The 20,822-nt window shown below is 42.0% G+C and overlaps 1 protein-coding gene across 3 annotated transcripts in view; it reads right to left on the bottom strand.

Moving 5' to 3' along the window:
* Positions 1 to 20,822, bottom strand: part of TMC2 (transmembrane channel like 2) — a 107,008-nt gene that overhangs the window by 45,633 nt on the left and 40,553 nt on the right. For all 3 annotated transcript variants that reach the window (XR_001754152.2, NM_080751.3, XM_005260660.5), the window contains 5 exons: positions 18,721 to 18,802; positions 17,892 to 17,998; positions 5,540 to 5,638; positions 2,981 to 3,123; positions 650 to 797 (listed from right to left, as the gene is read on the bottom strand). Coding sequence is in view for 2 of the 3 variants with exons in the window: in NM_080751.3 (NP_542789.2) it covers positions 650 to 797; positions 2,981 to 3,123; positions 5,540 to 5,638; positions 17,892 to 17,998; positions 18,721 to 18,802 (579 nt within the window). In the remaining variant the exon portion in view is untranslated. The remainder of the gene's footprint in view (positions 1 to 649; positions 798 to 2,980; positions 3,124 to 5,539; positions 5,639 to 17,891; positions 17,999 to 18,720; positions 18,803 to 20,822) is intronic.

The following is a 20,822-nucleotide window of genomic DNA, read 5'->3' as shown; positions in this document are numbered from 1 at the left end:
CCTCAGGTGATTCTAGTATGCAGAAAAAGTTGAGAAATGCTTTCCCCAAATGAGTCCTTCCACTTATTCCAGCAGAAATGTGTTTCACGTAGAAACAGGCAGCACCAGGTCTCAGCATCCAGGATACTCTGTCATATTAAGAAACAGACAGGCTGGGCGTGGTGGCTCATGTCTGTAATCCCAGCACTTTGGGAGGTGCAGGAGGGCAGATCACTTGAGGTCAGCAGTTCAAGACCAGCCTGACCAACATGGTAAAACCCCATCTCTACTAAAAATACAAAAAAAAAAAAAAATTAGCTGGGCATAGTGGCAGGCACCTGTAGTCCCAGCTACTCGGGAGGCTGAGGCAGGAGGATCGCTTGAGCCCAGGAGGCAGAGGTTGTAGTGTGCTGAGAGCACACCACTGCACTCCAGCCTGGGCAATGGGAGAGAGATGCTGTCTCAAAAAGAAAAGAAAAGAAACAGACAGTGGGCACCAGCCACGAACATTCTTACTTAAGGGTTTGAAAACTGGGCTCACATTTCTGGGAAGGCTCTTGCCACAAATTATTTGAGGACCTTATTTTCTATGTCCCAGCTGGGAGAAGTCTCTCAATGACCAGAGGGACCTAGAGTTCTCCGGAAGTGGGAACTGCCCTGGGGTGACTACCTTGAAGCTGGTGGTGATGGATGCATATTTGTTATCAGCTGTCTCTGAATTCCCGATCAGGTAGTCCCAGCTGGTGAACATCTTGAAGCTGAATGTGAAGTTGTCACTCTCCCCTTCGCCTGTGCTTCCTTGGGTATTGCTGGCCATCCTGTAGGGCACACAGCACTGTTGTGACGTCTGCCCTCTTTCTGCTGTGTCACCCCCAGGGAACCTTGGCCTAGCCAGTCTCGGACACAGGTAACAGATAAACAGGTAGCTGACATTCAGTGACAAAACAAGCCAGGCAGGGACTTGAGCCAAGACAGCTTTGAGGATAGCCAGGACACCCTTCCCCCCAAATTCAGAGTCCCCTGAAAGCACACATGGTATCAATGAGGTAATAAAAAGCCTGCAGGAGACAAGACACGTGACCATGTTTTCTTCCCTACACCCGATTTCCTGTGGCTTGACTCATCTGCAAATGCAGTTTGAGAACTCTATACGGGAGTCTATTCTCAAACAGGAACGTCCCCTTCTAAGTCATCTATTTTCTTGGATAGAACACACACACACATACACACACACACACACACACACACACATATATATTTTTTTCTGATATAAAATGCAAAACACACTGAGGTGGCTGGTGCTACTTTGTTGTGCTACTTTTTTTTTTTTTTTTTGGTAACAGAGTCTCGCTCTGTCGTCCAGGCTGGAGTGCAGTGGCCTGATCTTGGCTCACTGCAGCCTCCACCTCCCGGGTTTAAGCAATTCTCCTGTCTCAGCCTCCCGAGTAGCTGGGATTACAAACACCTGCCAGGACGCCTGGCTAATTTTTTGTATTTTTGGTAGAGATGGGGTTTTGCCATGTTGGCCAGGCTGGTCTCGAACTCCTGACCTCAGGTGATCTGCCTGCCTCGGCCTCCCAAAGTGCTGGGATTACAGGTGTGAGCCACCACGCCCGGCCCGGTACTACTTTTAATTGCAAAACCATCAATTACTTTTGCACCGTCCTAATACAATCAGGTCATATATCCTTCTCTTAATCAAGTTTGGCTGAAAGCACCTTGGACCTTCCTATTTCATCCTACCTGTCTTCAACCTATGCTCCCTAGAGTTTGACCCTGTGGGAATCACAGAATTCCAAACAGGGGTGCTATAAGATACTATGAGGGGTTTGTCATCTTCCCTAACATGTTGGCTCTCTGGATTTGCTGTTCCACAGGGCTTAGTTAGCTTTTTTGGTTTGTCACGAAAACTTTGCATATTTCTATACTTATCTGGGGTGAGAGCAGGGAAAAAGCAACAACATGAGGGCTAAGAATAAAAGCAAGCCTGTCTCCTTGTTCTTTTCCTTTTGCCTGATAGGGCTGTGCAGTCAGAGATCACCCAGTGGTCACTGTCGAGTGCTGGGCAGGGTCTTGGGAACAACAGCATTTCCGCCTGAGACCATGTGAAAGAAAACCAAGCGTCCCCATTGCCCTTTCAGGGGCTGTACCCAGACTTCACTCTACCCAGTGCTCCACTCCTCTCCTGGAGACACAGCCACCCTCTTCTGGGAGGCTGTGACCCCTCATGTCTGTGCTGAAGGGAGAGTGGGCCCAGGTGGATAGGTTTGTGTAGGAGACAGTGCCTTCCACTCCGTGACCCCCAGCCACAGCTGATGGGGTCCCCTGATTCTGAAGAAGGCGATCAATCCATGGGCTGGGCCAAGTTTTCAGAGAATAGGAATTAAGAGTTACAGACATATTAAAAGGCCACTTCTGACCACAGAGACAAGTAGAGTTGGGGCCAGAGAGGCCGCCATGGTTAATCACTGCCACATATATTTATTTAGTATAAGTTTATTTGGTTGTATCTTTCTATATGCCAGCCTTGGTTCTAACACACAAGCTAGAGTTTGGAGGAGCAGAAGAGTTTTTTGGAGGAAGCTGAGCTCTGGACAAAAGCAAAAACAGGCCTGACAAACCTCCAGGCCTACCTTACTAGGTACTATGCTCCCTCTCAAGCCACACTGGCCTTTTGGCAGTTTGGGAAAACACTAGGCTATTTGCGGCCTCAGGGCCTTTGCACATGCTCTTCTTTTGTCTAAAATGCTGCTCCCCAGAATTTCAGCATGGCTGGCGTTCTCAGCCTCATCCAAAGGGGTTTCAATCCTATTTCCCAGCACATCCCACATGGCCTGGTTCATGTCTTTCATACCACAAATTATAATGTGCATATGCTTTCTGTGCTCATTTCCTGTTTTCTCTCTGAATGCCCCACCAGAAGGGAGGTAGGCATAGAGTGGCCAGGGGAGTGAGCTGTGGCTGTGAAGTCAAAGCCTGCGGATGAGACGGTCATACTTACGATCGAATGACAATAATCAGGCTGTAGCCGAACACGCTGACCCCCACCATAAAGTAAGCCATAGGCAGCCGGTACCTCAGCCACCCGATGGTCCTCTGGTTGTTGTAGTAGCCATAGAAGAGTGCAGAGTACTTGATATAGCCCTGGGGGACAGCAAAGCCAAATGCTCTGGGTTGGTAAGCTCAGAGCTGGTGGTTACCAGACATGTCTACTCTACCAGGGATTTCTTTCTCAGAGTCTTAACCGAATCTAAGGGCCGAAGGAAGAGTTCCAGATGTTCTTGTTCTTCCCTTCACCTCCTCCAGTGGCTCCAGAGCCCCTCCATATCTCCCCTTCTTTCTCTCCTTCATTCCCTCTATTTCCTCATTACATAGAGTGCATGGAGACATGGGAGGGAGAAGAGAGTGTTGTTAACATTTGGGATCAAATTAGGGATAGGGGGTTGGGCACTGTGGCTCACGCCCGTAATCCCAGCACTTTGGGAGGCTGAAGTAGGCAGATCACTTGAGGCCAGGGGTTCAAGACCAACCTGGCTAACGTAGTGAAACCTTGTCTCTACTAAAAATACAAAAATTTGCCAGGTGTAATAGCAGGTGCCTGTAATCTCAGCTACTTGGGAGGCTGAGGCAGGAGAATCACTTGAACCTGGGAGGTGGAGGTTGCAGTGAGCAGAGATCATGCCCGTGCACTCCAGCCTGGGCAACAGAGGGAGACTCTGTCTCAAAAAAAAAAAAAAAAAAAAGGAATCCTTAGTAACAGTATAGTTGGGAACCCCTGTTCCAAATAACTTTCTGAAGGGTCTCCAATCTGACTTTGAGAGTGAAGGATGGCAGCAGCAATGACTTGCTGTGGGCAGCACTACAGCCATGCCTCCCAGCCTTAGGAAGCCCTTGGAGCTGCAGAGTAAGCCTCCAGAGGCATGGGAGTATGAAGCTCACAAAGGAGGGAAGAGTGCTGCAGGCAGAGGGCCATAAGCAAAGGCAGAGAGGCAATGACAGTGTGTGATGCGTGCAGGGACTTCCCCAAAGCTTGGTGGCATTGGGGCACTAAAGTGTGAGGTATTACTGGAGAGGTAGGGAGCAGCCAGGTCATGAACAGTTCCTTTGTAAACCCAATTAAGAACACTGGATTTTATTCCACTGGGAATGAGAATCAATGAAAATTTGAGGTAGGGGAGTGACAGGGTCAGATCTGCATTTTATAAAGATCACTCCAGCAACAAAGGGAATGGAAATTTTAGGAGCCAAGCCAAGGCAGGGAGGAGAGGTAGATGATTCTGACAGTAGTTCCAGTAAAGGGAGGACGTTATTCAAAGTGAAGGTAAAAGAGATGGAAAAACGCATTTTGCCTAATGATGGGATCCTATTTGATTAAAGAACTGGTTTTTCAATAATCAAGTCCACTGTTTCACACTTACACACGCAATCTTTAGGCCTTACAATCACAAGTGGAAGTTCATTGGTACATTGGCAATAGCACCTTGAAATCTTGAAGGATGAAAAACTCCGTGGCTTTTTCTTACTCAGTCCAGATATTCACTGATTTTCTTCCTCCTCAGATATTCATTGATTCTCATTCCCAAATGGAATAAAAGCCAAGGTTCTTAATTGGTGATATGGTTTGGCTCTGTGTCCCCAGCCAAATCTCATCTTCAATTGTAATCCCCAGGTGTTGAGGGAGGGACCTGGTGGGAGGTGAATGGATCATGGGGACAGTTTCCCCCATGCTGTTCTCATGATAGGGAGGGAGTTCTGGTGAGATCTGGTTGTTCTGATAAGTTTCTGGCATTTCCCCTGTGCTCTCTGTCTTCTGCTGCCATGTAAGAAGTGCCTTGCTTCCCCTTTGCCTTCCACTGTGATTGCAAGTTTCTTGAGGCCTCCCCAGCCATGCGGAACTGTGAACCAATTAAACCCATTTATTTATAAATGACACAGTCTCAGGTAGTAGTGTGAACATGAACTAATACAATTGGGTTTACAAAAGATTTAAGAAATATTTAGTAGGTAGGTTCAGATTTAGTGGTTGGTTGGATGGCAGTGGCGGGTGGTTGGTGAGGAAGAGGTAGAAGCGTGGGATGATTTTCAGGCTTCAGACATGGATGATTGGATGAATGGTGATTCCAATAAAGGAGCTGGGAAAAAGAGATGTGGGTTTTGGCTGGATAGGTGTTGCATTTGAAGAGCAAGTAGGACATTCAGTTGAAGATGTCATGTGAAACTTGGGGAAGCCTGGAGTGGAGATAGATCTGGGGTCTTAATGTGGGAATGAGGAAAGAAAAGCATACCGTGAGATCACCTTACAGAGACCTGGCAGACAGAGAGGTGCAGTGGCTGCATGGGGAGCCCACATCTGTCAGAGTGTGGCTGGAGAGAGCAGTGCGTGAAGGAGACCCGGGAAGACTGTGCAGAGACATGGTTTGCAAGCTCATTTAGCTTAGTGCTGGGATCCTATTAAAGCAATGGTTTTTCAATAATTAAACGCACTATTTCATACTTATCCATGCAATCTTTAGCCTTTATAATCACAAATGGAAGTTCATTGGCATGTTGACAATAGTACCTCAAAATCCCAAAGGACAGAAAAATCCATGGCCTTTTCTTCCTCAGCCCGAGGCACTGTCTTTCTGGGAATACTCCCATAGGGCATGCCCATCAGTACCTTGTGCAGAAACACAATGACACAAGTATGAGTGGAGGAAATACAAACACACAGAGACATTCATATACTGGGGTAAATGCTTTCCTTCTCAGAGCGGAATACACCTATTTTCTTCTTTCTTTATGTATTTATTAATTTAATTCATTTTTTATTTTTTGAGATGGAGTTTCACTCTTGTCACCCAGGCTGGAGTGCAATAGCACAGTCTCAGCTTACTGTAACCTCCGCCTCCCAGGTTCAAGTGATTCTCCTGCCTCAGTCTCCCGAGTAGCTGGGATTACAGGTGCCTGCCAACATGCCTGGCTGTTTTGTATTTTTAGTAGAGACAGGATTTCACCATGTTGGCCAGGCTGGTCTTGAACCCCTGACCTCAGGTGATCCACCCACCTTGGCCTCCCAAAGTGCCAGGATTACAGGCGTGAACCACTGAGCCCGGCTCTATTTTCTTCTTTAAATAACATTGATCGCTTTCCTGATTTTAAGAGTAACACACACTCATTGTAAAAAATGTGAAAAAGTACAGAAGAGCGTTTCTTTTCTTTTCCTTTCCTTTTCTTTTCTTTTCTTTTCTTCTCTTTTCTCTTTTCTTTTCTTTCTTTTTTGAGACAGGTTCTCACTTCATCACCTAGGCTGGAGTGCAGTGGCTCCATCTCGGCTCATTGCAATAACTTCTGCCTCCCTGGCTCACGTGATCCTCCCACCTCAGCCTCCTGAGTAGCGGGAACTACAGGTGTGTACCCCCACGCCCAGCTAATTTTTTGTATTTTTAGTAGAGACAAGGTTTTGCCATGTTGCCCAGCTGGTCTCAAACTCTTGGGCTCAAGTGATCCTACTACCTTGGCCTCCCAAAGTGCTGGGATTACAGGCATGAGCCACCGTGCCCAGCCAGAAGAGCATTTTAAAAATTACCTATCAGTGCCAAAACCCAAAGATAATGACTGTTAGATATTTATATATTTTCTTTTAGTTATTTCTGAGTTCTATGTATATTTTAGTCTAGTTATTTAGTCTAATATTATTTTGTGACCAGTTTCCTACGTCATAAGGTATTTCCCCAAATAAAATGACTTCAAAAATATCTAATAAAAATATGTACAAGAAACTTACTTAACAAATCCTCTATTGTTGGACATTAAAGTATTTCTAGTTCTATACGTGTATATAATTCTGTTATTAATACCCTTATACATATGCCCTTATTCATATCCTTAATTGTAAAAAAAATCAGAAATGGATTAGATTTATATATTGATTTAGGAAGGATTGACTTTTTAATGAGATTAAATTTTTCCTTCCAAGAATATATCCTTCCATTTATTGTCTTATTTTTGTCCAGTAATTCTTTATAGTGTTCCTCATAGAAATATTCTGATTTATTAAATGTATTACTAGTTATTTTATAAATTTATTGCATTGTGTCAAAATTTTAAATTCTATTTTTAAGTGGACATTAAATATACAGAAAATCACTGCCATTTGTCTTTAAAATGACTCCAGTCATCTCAATATACTTGTTTATTAGATTCTAGTAGTTTTTCATAAAATCATTGGAGTTTTTGGGGGGTTTACAATCATATCACCTGCAAACCAAAATAACTTTGTATTTTTTTTGTACGAAGTGTATAAGATGTTAATTTTCCTGACATTGCATTAGGTGGCAGAAATTAATATTGAAAAGTAGTAGGGATAGGGATATATCATGTTTCTTTTGATTTTTGTAACAGGCTTTAGTATTTTTCACCATTTAATATAAAATTACTTTGTTTCTTAATTTATAGGTTCTTCATTTTTAGGTAATTTTCTTTTATTTCTTTTTGTTTCTTTGTTTTAAATTTATTTTCTTATTGGGGAATATGTTATACATAAAATAGTATATGTATAACATATATGTATAGTTGATCATAATAAAAAGGAAATTAACTACTATATATCCACTAGCTAGCTTAAGAAACAGGAAATTTCCAGGCCTTTATAGTACCCTGGATAAGCCCCTCCTGAATTATATCCCTCTTGCATCCTAAGATGCAACCAAGATATAGTACATTTTATGTTAACAATTCCCTTGTTTTTCCTTATATTTTACTCATTTATTGTTTTGTTTTGCCTGTTTAGTTTTGCCTGTAAAATGGAATCATGCATAAGTATTCTCCTATGAATTGTTTTTTTCATACAACATTACACTTTTGAGATTCATTGATATTGACATTTGTAGCTACAGTTCTCTAATTTTCACTGTTACGTAATATTGCATTGTATGGACATACTATAATGTATTTACACAGTCTACTCTTCATAGACATTTGGATTGTTTCCAGATTTTACTATTAAAAACAATACTGCCGGCCATGCGCGGTGGCTCATGCCTGTAATCCCAGCACTTTGGGAAGCCGAGGTGGGCAGATCATGAGGTCAGAAGATCGAGACCATCCTGGCTAACACGGTGAAACCCTGTGTCTACTAAAAATACAAAAAATTAGCCGGGCATGGTGGCGGGCGCCTGTAGTCCCAGCTACTTGGGAGGCTGAGGCAGGAGAATGGCGTGAACCTGGGAGGCGGAGCTTGCAGTGAGCCGAGATTGAGCCACTGCACTCCAGCCTGGGAGACAGAGGGAGACTTTGTCTCAAAAACAAATTAACAAACAAACAGTACTGCCAGCAAAAGCAGGGGAAGTTGCTTTGGACAAACTCTTTCACTGAGAACAACTAGACAAGTGGACAATCATGACTTGTGCTGCCAAGATCCAGGAGATAAAGAAATTCTGAAGAAGTGATTGTGCATTGCTGTTCCCCATGAGTTATTCGTTGATTTCAATCACAGCAGCTAAAAGATAAAGACAGTATGCAGCAACTTTGGAATAGTCAAAGGGCTGAAGAATGAAATGAGAGTGAAATTTAAGGACAAATAGGTTTGGGAGGTTGAGGCAGGTGGATCGCTTGAGCTCAGGAGTTCAAGACCAGCCGGGGCAACATGGAAAAACCCCATCTCCACACACACACACACACACACACACACACACACACACACACACACACACACACAGGGCAAATAGGAAGATATCTGGAAAAAGCCCAAGCTTTTAGTTGAGGCCTGGGAAGATTTTACTCAGAAAGTAAAATTAGACAAAAATATAGACCATCTTGCTTAGTTCTCCCACCAGAGGAATAAGTAAAACTCAATAATTGCTCACAAACAATGCGTAGCACTCAGCTTGACTAAAAACTAAAAGAAAAATTAAACAATAAAAACAGATTCAAAGGAAGTCTAAATAAGGGAGTTGTCAGTCATGAGCTTTAAAATAAGTTTGATTAATATGCTTAAGGAATTAAGGGACAAGATGAATCATTTTGGTAGAGAACTGGAAACTATAAAAACAATCAAATGGAAGTTATAGAACTGAAGCATGTGATCATCGAAATTAAAAGCTCAATGGACAGATTTAAGAACATATAGATCAGAAAAGAGAATGGCTAAATTTTAATACAGGGTTAAAAAAGTCCAGACTTAAATATATAGAGAAAAAGATGGAAGATACTGAAAAGAGCATAAGGCATACATGGAAATACAGAGACAAGGCTCACTGAGACAAGACACACACACACACACACACACACACACACAAAGACACATGCAAAGGCACACACATATATGTAGTCCCAGAAGGAGAGAGAAGATGGAATGGCATAGAAACAGTATTTAAAGGGATTATGGCAGAGAATTTTCCCAATGTGACAAAAGACAGTTTAAGATTTAGTAAGTGCTACAGATCCAAAGCTGGATATCTACTGCTTTGGATTTCTATTTCTGTGTAACAAATTACCACAAAGATGGCCTAAAGCAACACCATTTATTAGCTCACAGTTCTGTAGGTCAGCAGTCTAGCATGGTGTGGCTGGATTCTCTGCTCAGGGTCTCACCAGACTGAAATCAAAGAGTCAGCAGGGGCTAAGGGTCTCATCTGGGGTCTGGAGTCCTCTTCCAAGCTCACTTATTGTTGGCAGAATTCATTTCCTTGTGCTTGTAGGACTGAGGTCCCTGTTTCCTTGCGGGGTGGCAGATGGCGGCCACACTCAGCCTCTCAAGGGCTCCCACATTCCCCATTACATGGTTCCCTCCATCTTTAAGCCAGCAGTGGTGTGTTCAATCCTTCCCATGTTTTGAATATCTGTGACTTCTTCTGCAACCAGCCAGAGAAAACTCTTGGCTTTTAAAGAGCTCATGTGATTAAATTAGGCTCACTCAAATAACCTTGGAGTGATACCTCATTCCTAGGTTCTGTCCATACTCAAAGGGGGGGGGGATTATACAAGATTGAGGGTCATTTAGGGTCATTCTTAGAATTCTGCCTACCACATATACAAAAAGCAACAAATCAACAATGACAACAAAAACTTCACTTAGGGAATTGGGGAGATTGGGAAATGTTGGTCAAAGGATACAAAATTTCAGCTAGATAGGAAGTATAAATTCAAGAGATCTATTGTACGACATGGTGACTATAGTTAATAACAATGTATTGTATACTGGAAAATTGCTATGAGAATAGATTTTAAGTGTTCTCACCAAAAATAAATGATAAGTATAGGTATATGAGGTGATGCATATGTTAATTAGCTTGATTTAACCATTCCACAATATATACACATTCCAAGACAGCATTTTGTACAACATAAATATATGCAATTTATATTTGTCAATTAAAAGAAGTACATTTTTAAAAATTCACCTAAACCTACCACAGGAAAATTTACACAAATTCTTCAAGAGAATAATAAAAAAAAACATTCCCAAATCACTTTATGAGGTCTAATAGTGATCCCCAAACATAAGAACATTATAAGAAGGATATTTACAGTCCAGTATCTCAAAAATAGATGCAAAAATTCTAGATAAAATATTCACAAATCAAAATCAGATGATATATAAAAAAGATAATACATAATAACCTAGTTGGGTTTATTCCAAGAATGCAATCTGGTTTAACATTTGAAAATAAATCAATATAATTCACCACATAACAATCTTAAATTTGTATGTGCCCAATAACATGGCATTAACATATATAAAACAAAAATAATAATTACAATGAGAAGAAGACAATGGCAGGAGATTTAATTGATCTCACTCAGCAATTGATCATGCTACTCTAAAATTAGTAAGATTATAGATAATTTGTAGAATACAAGTAATATTTTGAACCATGCAAATAATATAAAAATTTAGGAAAATTAACCATATTCTAAGTAAATAAAGCAAGTCCCAAGTGATGAAAAAGTATCAGTTTCATACAAAATATACACTATGATCACTATAAAATTATACTAAAAACCAGTAAAAAATGCCACCAATCTTTCTATATATTAAAGTCTTGAAAATTATTCATAAATAACTTGTGGATTACAAGGAAATTAGAAAATACCTAAAAATAAATAATGGCAATGTATATCAAAGTATATGGCATGCAACTAAAATGGTATTGAGAGGAAAATTTATAAATGAGTGTTGTGTTACTGATGTCATTTGAATGTCCCTTCCAACTCTCATGTTGAAATGTGATTCCCAGTGTTGGAGGTGGGGCCTGGTGGGACATACTGGATCACGAGGGCAGATTCTTCATAAATGGCTTAGCACTATCCCCTTGGTGATAAGTGAGTTCTCACTCGGTTAGTTCACACGAGATATGGTTGTTTACAAGTCTAGGACCTCTCCCAATCACTCTCTTGCTCCTGCTCTCGCCAAGTGATGTGCTGGTTCCCCTTCACCTTCCATCATGATGTAAGTTTCCTGAGGCCCTTAACAGAAGCAGATGCTGGCACTTTGCTTTCTGTACAGCCTGGAGAACCATGAGCCAATTAAACCTCTTTTCTTTATAAATTACCCAGCCTCAGGTATTTCTTCATAGCAACACAAGAACAGGCTACTACAGTTGTAGACTTGCTATGGGCCAATAACTCCTTTGTGCCTCCCATTTTTCTCCTGTTTGAACACAGGCATGTCTATAGCATTTATCTTATGCCTGTCCCACCATTTTATGTTTGTTGTGTTGGTGCAGATAACATCTTTTTAGTCTCATGGTAAAGAGAACTGAACTCAAGGAGTTGTATTTAAAGAGCTACCCCCATGGAGCTTCATCTGCACCTGAACTACTGATTTAGAGTGAGAGTTTGGAATCTGAGCTGATGCTATGCCAGAATAAGATTTTTAGAGGCCTTGAGGAGGGGCGAGTGTATTCTGCATGTGGAAGGGATGTGAATCACTGAGGACCAGAGGGTTCAATGTGGTAGGCAGCCTGTGAGGTGGCTCACATGATCCCTGCCTCTGGTATTTATTATTGTGTACCATAATACCCTCCCACTGAGTGTGGGCTTGATTTAGTGACTCACTACTAAGGAATAAAATATGGCAGAAGTGATGGAATGTCATTTCTGAGATTAGGTTATAAAAAATGGTGGCTTCTATGTGGGAAGCTTCTTTTTGCTCTATTTCCTTCTTGGATTCTCTCCTTCTGGGAGAAGAAAGCTGCCACCTTATGAGCTTGCCTATGGAAAAACTCATGTAGTAAGAAACTGATGTCTCTGGCCAATAGCCACTGAGTACCTGAACCTTGGGAACAGCCACATAAGTAAGGTTGGAAGCAGATTTTCTGAGGCCTGCCAGAAGCCACGTGAGTAAGCTTGAAATTGTATCTTCTGAGATCTGCCAGTAGCCATGTGAGTGAGCTTGGAAGCGGATCTTCTTCAGTTCAGCCTCAAGATAATTGTAGCCTTGGTCAAAACCTAGACCGTAGGCTGTGGGAGACCCCAAGCCAGAACCACTTCTGGATTCCTGACCCACAGAAATAATAATAAATGGTTGTTGTATTCAGCGAAAAAATAGGGAGTAATTTGTTACCCAGCAATAGATAATGAATACAAACCCCAAGAAATTAGAAGGAAAGAAATGAAACATATAAGTTAGAAATTAGTAATATAAAAATAAAGATATAAAAGAAAAAGACCTGAAAGTGAATGTTTTATAGTAGAGTTATTCATAATAGTTTCCAAATAGAAACAACTGAAATGTCCATGAGCTGGTGAATGGATAACAAACTATGATATACTCATATGGTGGAATATTACAATCCCATTGTAATTTTCAATTCCATTTCAGCAATAAAGGGACAAATGACTGATAAACTACATGAAAGAATTTCAAAGACATTGTACCAACTGAAAGAGGTTAGACACAATAAAACTGCATACTACATATTTCTATTTGTATGATATTCTGAAAAGGGCAAAACTTTGGGAACAGAAATCAGAAATCAATCATTGGTTGTCAAGGGCTGGGAGCTGGGAGAGGAGATTGCTTGCAATGTGGGTACTAGAGAAATTTAGGGGGCGATGGAAATGTTCTATATTTCAGTTGTGTGGTGGTTACCTGATCATACATTTGTCAAAAGTCATTGAATTGTATACCTAAAAGGAGTAAATTTTACTTGATGCAAATTGTGCCCCCCAAAAGACTGAATTAAAAAAAAAAAGACATTTCAGAGAGAATCAGCAAAGCCAAAAGTTTTTTCTTGAACAAAATAACTAAAAAAGACAAACTTTGCTGTAAATGAGACAAAAAAATTATACTGTAATGCAAAAGGGGATACATCTTTAGATACACTGTGATTTTAGAAAATAAGAGATGACTGTATTTAAGTCACTACATTTTAAAATGTGAGTTGAAATGGAAAGTTCAGGATAGTGAGGGTTACGTAGGTAATAAAATTGGGGAAAATTAATCAGAGGACTTCAGTGTGTGTGTAATATTTCATTTTTTAGGCATGGTGATGAGCAAGTAGGCTCATTCATTATATCTTTTCTTTTTTTTTTTTTTTTTGAGACGGAGTCTCGCTCTGTCGCCCAGGCTGGAGTGCAGTGGCGGGATCTCGGCTCACTGCAAGCTCCGCCTCCCGGGTTCACGCCATTCTCCTGCCTCAGCCTCCCAAGTAGCTGGGACCACAGGCACCCGCCACTACGCCCGGCTAATTTTTTGTATTTTTAGTAGAGACGGGGTTTCACCGTGTTAGCCGGGATGGTCTCGATCTCCTGACCTCGTGATCCGCCCGCCTCGGCCTCCCAAAGTGCTGGGATTACAGGCGTGAGCCACCGCGCCCGGCCTCATTATATCTTTTCATATGTCTGAAATAATTTAGTAGTTATTTTTAAGGGGAAGTATCATAAGAGGTTTACAGACTGAATGCTTGCTATGTAAACCTAAAGCACAGCTTCCTTAAAGACCTTATAATGTACATTAGCAGTTTTCAACCCTAGCTGCATAATAGAATCACCTGGGGAGCTGCATTAGTCATCTACTGCTATATAACAAATTACCCTAAAATGTTAGAGGCTTAAAAAAACACACAATTATTATCTCACTGTTTCTGTGACTAGCATTTTGGGTATGGCTTAGCTGGGTCCTTCGCTTCCAGGATCTTTCACAAGGCTGCAACCAAAATTTCTGCTTTGGTCTTATTTGAAGGTTTGACTGGGGAAGAATCTGCCTTAAAATGTGCTTATGTGAGGCTGAGCATGGTGGCTCATGCCTGTAATCCCAGCACTTTGGGAGGCTAAGACAGGTGGATCATGAGGTCAGGATTCAAGACCAGCCAGGCCAAGATGCTGAAATCCCGTCTCTACTAAAAATACAAAAATTAGCAGGGCGTGGCGGCACATGCCTGTAATCCCAGCTACTCAGGAGGCTGAGGCAGGAGAATTGCTTGAACCTGGGTGGCAGAGGTTGCAGTGAGCTGAGATCATGCCACTGCACTTCAGCCTGGGTGACAGAGCAAGACTCCATCTCAAAAAAAAAAAAAAAAAGTGCTTATGTGGTTGTTGCTGGGTTGCTGGACTAAGGGCCTCAGTTCCTTGCTGGCCATTGTCCAAAGGCCACACTCAGTTCCTTGCCAGGTGGGCATCTCCAATCTGTCAGACTGCTTCATTAAAGCACCCAAACCAAGAAGGGAATCAACAGAGAATTCTGCCAGCAAGATGGAAATCACTATCTTTCATAACCTAACCATTCTATATTCTATTTGTTAAAAGCAAGTCTCTAGGTCTAGCCTATATTCAAAGGGAGGCGTTACATAAGGACATGAATACCAGGAGAGAAGGATCATTGGAGGTTATCATAGAAATCTGCTTTCCACAGAAGCTTTTAAAACAGAGATAACAAGACCATACCCTCAGAGTCAAATTTATTTGACTGGGGGTGAGCCTAAGATCTGGTGTTCTTAAAGTCCCCCAGGTGATTTTCACATACATCCAGTGTTGGAAGAGAAGTACATAAACTTGTCATCCAGTGGGGCCTTGCCAGCCAGCTCCTGCAGCATAACTGAGGGTTCCTCAGGGATCACGTAGACATCCTGGGTTGTGCAGGCAATGGCAATTAAAGATAAACAAGGCTCATTCTTACATTCAGAGCTGTTTAATTTCATAAAGTGGTATTGAGAGTTTGTGGCAAAAGGAAAATGAATATAAGGAGAAGTTTCGTTAAAGTTGCGTTCAAGGCCAGGGATGGTGGCTCATGCCTGTAATCCCAACACTTTGGGAGGCTGAGGCGAGCAGATCGCTTAAGGTCAGGAGTTTGAGACCAGCCTGGCCAACATGGCGAAACCCCATCTCTACTAAAAATACAAAAACTAGCCGGGTCTGGTGGTGCGTGCCTGTAATCCCAGCTACTTGGGAGGCTGAGGCACGAGAATTGCTGGAACCCAGGAGGTGGAGGCTGCAGCGAGCCAAGACTGTGCCACTGCACTCCAACCCAGGAGATAGAATGAGGCTCTGTCTCTCTCTCTATATATATATAAATAATTTTTTTAAAAAGTCATGTTTGAGCACTTCTACTATTCTTATCCCTGGACCCTCTGGTTCACTATGCTTCATTTTAAAACATCCATGGGTCGTGGGGATATCTCTGAACCTTAGCTTATGCTGAAAACCCTTGAGCCCTGAAGTTCTCTGTGTCTTTGACCAACAGGACACTTCCTTTAGATGTGCAATGAATTTGGATGTGTCTGATTCCCATATGGCCAATTTCCCATCATCCTAAATAAGAAGGCATCTTGAGACACCCCACACCCTAATTGCTGTTATCCAACCTGTCATCAAGACTTGTCCGTGCACTTCACTCTGATTCCTCTCTTTTAATCCATTCCCATTGATATTACCCGGATCTAGCACTGACCTACTGCAACAGGCTGCTACCTGGTCTAAGCCTCTTCCCTTCTCCCCTATTTCCCTTCTTCCCTTCTCCTTCTTCCCAAGCCAAGGCTCCTCTTTCCAGCAAAGCATCTCTCTCTCTCTCTTACTCTCAACCCACTCCAGTATGGTTTTCCCAATCACCTGCCAATCAAATCAAGGTTCTCTAGCACGAATGGTTCAGATCTTGGCTGCTTCATTGGAATGCACCAATCACTAAGTTTTTATTGTTTAAAATAAATGTTCCCTCATAAAAATATTAAAAACTTACATAAATTATACCAAATTTAATGTTCTCTTTTAAAAAGCAACCGAGTGTCCTTAAAATTGCTCAACTTCCCCCAAACCTGCCTTTTATGGACCACTGCACAGCAAAATTTCAGAGATGTCTCATAGGCCTGTGGCATTTAAATGTGCTCTCTTCTCATGGAATAAAAGCTTCCAAGAAGAAAGCCAAGAGCTTTGTGAAGGTAAATTTCCCCATTGACTACCGAGGAAAACATTTCATATTTACCTGACTATGGAGGAGATAAATGAGACTTCCTATTAGCTTTTGACAATATTTTCCCCCTGGGGAGAACCAGACTTGGTGTAAGAGTGTTTGTGTACGCTTGACAGTGACGTTTAAAATGCTAACTTCTGGGTCAGAGAGTGATATTGGCATAAGAATATATGTAGGGCTCAGTGGACTCAGAACCCTTGATTTCTAGGTGTGTTTATGAAAGAGTACAAAGGCTAGTTAATGACATATTTGTAAGCACACATTTTGAGTAATATAGAAAAGAATTCAACAATTTTATGAATAATGTAACACTCCTTTGCTACCAAAGGCTATTATAATGCATGGTCAACCTCCTCCAATAAATCTGATTTAATTCACATTATGTGAAAGGTTTTTAATGTCCTGAAAGTGGCTGTGCAGAAAATGTAACTGCAGATAGAATTGACTCCAATATGCTCACAGAACCATTTATAACAAAATAGGAGTCAGTAAGTCATCAAAGAACCAATTAATACACCTGTGAGGAAGAAAATACTAAATGCACACATACTGTTCCTCTGAAAGCTGTTGAAGTAGACCCACTTGTGTACCCAGCACCAGCATCAAGGATTTCAGTCAGGACTGTAGCAATTGTAGCAATTGCTGTGCTCAGTGCTTAGTGAGCCACAGGCTCCTTGGAAAAGACCCTAAGCCATCACTCTGGGGACCTGAGATCCAATTCACAATGATCTTATTGTGTGACTTTGCACAAATTGCTCATTACCCCTTTTTTGTTTCTCAATTAATCATCTGTAGATAAGAATCTATTTATGTCCATAATAAGATTATATCTGGGGCCAGGTATGGTGGGTTATGCCTGTAATCCCAACACTTTGGGAGGCTGAGGTGGGAGAGCTACTTGAGCCCAGGAGTTCAAGGCTGCACTGAACCACGATCACATCACTGCCCTCCAACCTGGGCAACAGAGTGAGACCCTGTTTCTAAAAAAAACCTCCTTAAAAATTATATATGGGAGAATAGTGAGGAGTGATAGTCAAATCCAAGTTTTTTTGGTGATAAATAATGATATAATGTATTCTATCCCTCTCTTTTTTCTGAGAGTAAAAGAAAAAAACTCATTGAAACATTAATTCTCCACTGATCTTAAGGTAAAATGAGAAGTAGAAAAATGTAAGATTCACCTACTAATTAAGGAACAAAGTATTTTGGTTCCATTCTTTGTATTTAACTATCTGGGTAATTGATGTGAGTACATTAGGTCGTAGGTTGGTGCAAAAGTAATTGTAGTTTTTGCCATTACTTTTAATTTTATAAATTTACTTTTCATGGCAGTAATTTATAAATTACTTTTAATGGCAAAAAATTAAAATTACTTTTAATGCAAAACAATTACTTTTGCACCAGCCTAATAGCATTTTAAATGAATGACTGATTCTTTGTAAAACAGGAAGTATTTGGTTGATAATTGATGACGGTGGTCATAAGCCTTAACTCTATCCAAAGATTTAGGAAGTTCTTTTCTTACCTCTGGGATTATGACTAGACCAAATATTAAGCCAAAAAGGACAAGGTTAACTCCATACATCCATCGGAGAAAGATGAAATACGATGCCACTGAAGAACCAAAGTGACCTAGAGAGAGAAAAGACGGTGGGTATGAGTGCTGCAGAAGGAAAAAATGGACACTATTGAGCACTTTATGTGTGTGGTGGATTCAATTTTCACATCAGTCTGTTGAATGACACCTGGATCTCCCTTTCTTTTCCTGGATAAATAACCTGAGGCTCTTTGGGGTTAACTAACTTGCCTAAGTGCCCACAGTCAGAAAGTGAAAAAGCAGAATTTAAATCTTGGTCTGGGATGAGTGCGGTGGCTCACGTCTGTAATCCCAGCACTTTGGGAGGCTAAGGTGGGTGGATCACTTGAGGTCAGGAGTTCGAGACCAGCCTGGCCAACATGATGAAACCCTGTCTCTATTAAATATACAAAAAAATTAGCCAGGTGTGGTGGCCCAGACCTGTAATCCCAGCTACTCAGGAGGTTGAGACAGAAGAATCGCTTGAACCTAGGAGGTGAAGGTTGCAGTGAGCCAAGATCACACCACTGCACTCCAGCCTGGGCAACAGAGCGAGACTCTGTCTCAAAAATAAATAAAAATAAATAAATAAATAAATAAATAAATAAATAAATAAATAAAAAATAAATCTTGGCCTGACAAGTTCAAAACTCATTCTTTTTTCCTAATACAACAGAACCAATGAAATAATCTATTCAGAGGGCCAAGGAAACAATCCAAGCTCTTGGGAAACGCTTTAGGAAACCAATTAAAAAAACAGTGACACCAGCATACTCACTTTCAATGTCCTTGATCTTCATTTCCCAGGGGATACATTGAGTCTTGAAATTATCAAAGTCTCTCTTAAATTTGACCCATTTCTGAAATAAAAGACGTAAAACTCTCAGTTCCTTAACATGTCAACCTGGAGCACAAAGGGGCATGATGAGGGGCACGAGGAGGCCGACAGGTCAGCATGAGTCAGCATGGGTGAAGCTGCTGTCTTGCAGTCCCCAGCTCCTGCTGTCCTTGAGCCCAGGCTGCCAGAGGCAGGTGTTCAAACCTTTACTTCCCCAACGTCAGGCCTGGAGTGAGAGACAAGTGAGGGCCACCCCTTACTGTGCTGATAAAATTTCTGGTTTGGACAGTTTGTAGATAAAGTGAGAAATTCTCTGTACGATTTCTGATTTGGAGGGTCCGATTGAGTTAGCAACCTCTGATATGACTTTCTTCAACTTAAAACAAAAATTCAAAGGTAGAAGGAACTCTGGCTACTCTCAGACCCACGTCTGGCAGACAGCCAAGTGCCTCTCTCTGATAGGAACTGTCGCAAAATTGCAGGGGTGGTGCAACTGATAAGGAGATCTCAACCCATAGCTGAACATTCTTCTCCTGGGGGAACAACAGCCTCGCTTTTCTGAAAAGAGTCAGAAAGGCATGTTGCCCCCTCCTGTGATCTGTTCCCAGCTAGACACCCAGACTATGTACCAAACAGAAACCTGATCAGCCGTCTTTCTATGGCTGGGTGTTGTTTTGTCAACTCTCCAAGGGACTGCTCTCCACCAGCCCCACATTGTGGAAACAAATCCATTTGGAATAAAACAGATACTCATAGAAAGCTGAGGTAGAAATACTCATAGAAAGCATAAGAGGTAGTAGAGAGCAGATCCTAAGATCAGTTCCCATTATTATTATTATTGTTATTTTGAGATGGAGTCTCACTCTGTTGCCCAGGCTGGAGTGCAGTAGCGCAATCTCGGTTCACTGCAACCTCCACCTCCGGGGTTCAAGCTATTCTCCTGCCTCAGCCTCCTGAGTAGCTGGGATTACAAGCACGCACCACCACGCCTGGCCAATTTTTCTATTTTTAGTAGAGATGGGTTTCACCATGTTGGCCAGGCAGGCCTTGAACTCCTGATCTCAAGTGATCTGCCCGCCTCGACCTCCCAAAGTGTTGGGATTACAAACTTGAGCCACTGTGCCTGGCCCGGTTCCTATTATTAAAAGGTCTCCTCAGAACTTGTTCATGGAGGACATGAGATATTCCCCTGTAAAGTCACTAAAGTCCGCACCTGTGAAAAGAAGGGGCAAAAAATAAAGTCAGCAGAAGATGAAAGGGAAACGTTTCTTTTCAGACATGGTCTCACTCTGCTGCCCAGGCCGAGTGCAGGTGGCGCAAACATGGCTCACTGCAGCCTTGACCTCCTGGGCTCAAGTGATCTTCCTGCCTCAGCCTCCTGAGTAGCCACCACATTCGGCTAATTTTTTTTATTTTTTGTAGAGACAGGGTCTCACCATGCGGCCCAGGCTGGTCTCAAACTCCTGGGCTCAAGTGATCCGCCTGCTTTCAGCCTCCCAAAGTGTTAGGATTTCAGGTGTGAGCCACCATCCATCAAAACGGGAAAAATTTTGTGAAGGAATCAGACAGGCTTCCAGACCTGGTTTTCCAGATATAGTTTTGACCATCTCCTGATTGAATGATTGTATAAAGAAGGGAACCAGCTGTCAGAAGAGGGAGATGGTCCCAGATGCAAAAGAGAGGAGAAGCCCATCAGCAGACTGGTTGATAACAGTGGCAAAGATAGGAAGGATATGGTGATTGGCAGAAAACAGACACTGGGCAGCCCAGTCTCATTGCTTCATCCGCCCTCCCTAGCTCTGAGACTGTGTTCAAAAATACTCTTTGGGCTGGGCGTGGTGGCTCATGCCTGTAATCCCAGCTTTTTGGGAGGCTGAGGTGGGTGGATCACTTGAGGTCATGAGTTCGAAACCAGCCTGGCTAACATAGTGAAACCCTGTCTCTACTAAAAACAAATACAGGCTGGGGACGGTTGCTCACGCCTGTAATCTCAGCACTTTGGGAGATCGAGGCAGGTGGATCACCTGAGGGCAGGAGTTCAA

The sequence above is a fragment of the Homo sapiens genome, chromosome 20 (genome assembly GCF_000001405.40).
Source record: "Homo sapiens chromosome 20, GRCh38.p14 Primary Assembly".
Taxonomy (NCBI): domain Eukaryota; kingdom Metazoa; phylum Chordata; class Mammalia; order Primates; family Hominidae; genus Homo; species Homo sapiens.
The sequence above is the reverse complement of the archived record's forward strand: the minus strand, read 5'-3'. Positions and strand labels throughout refer to the sequence as shown.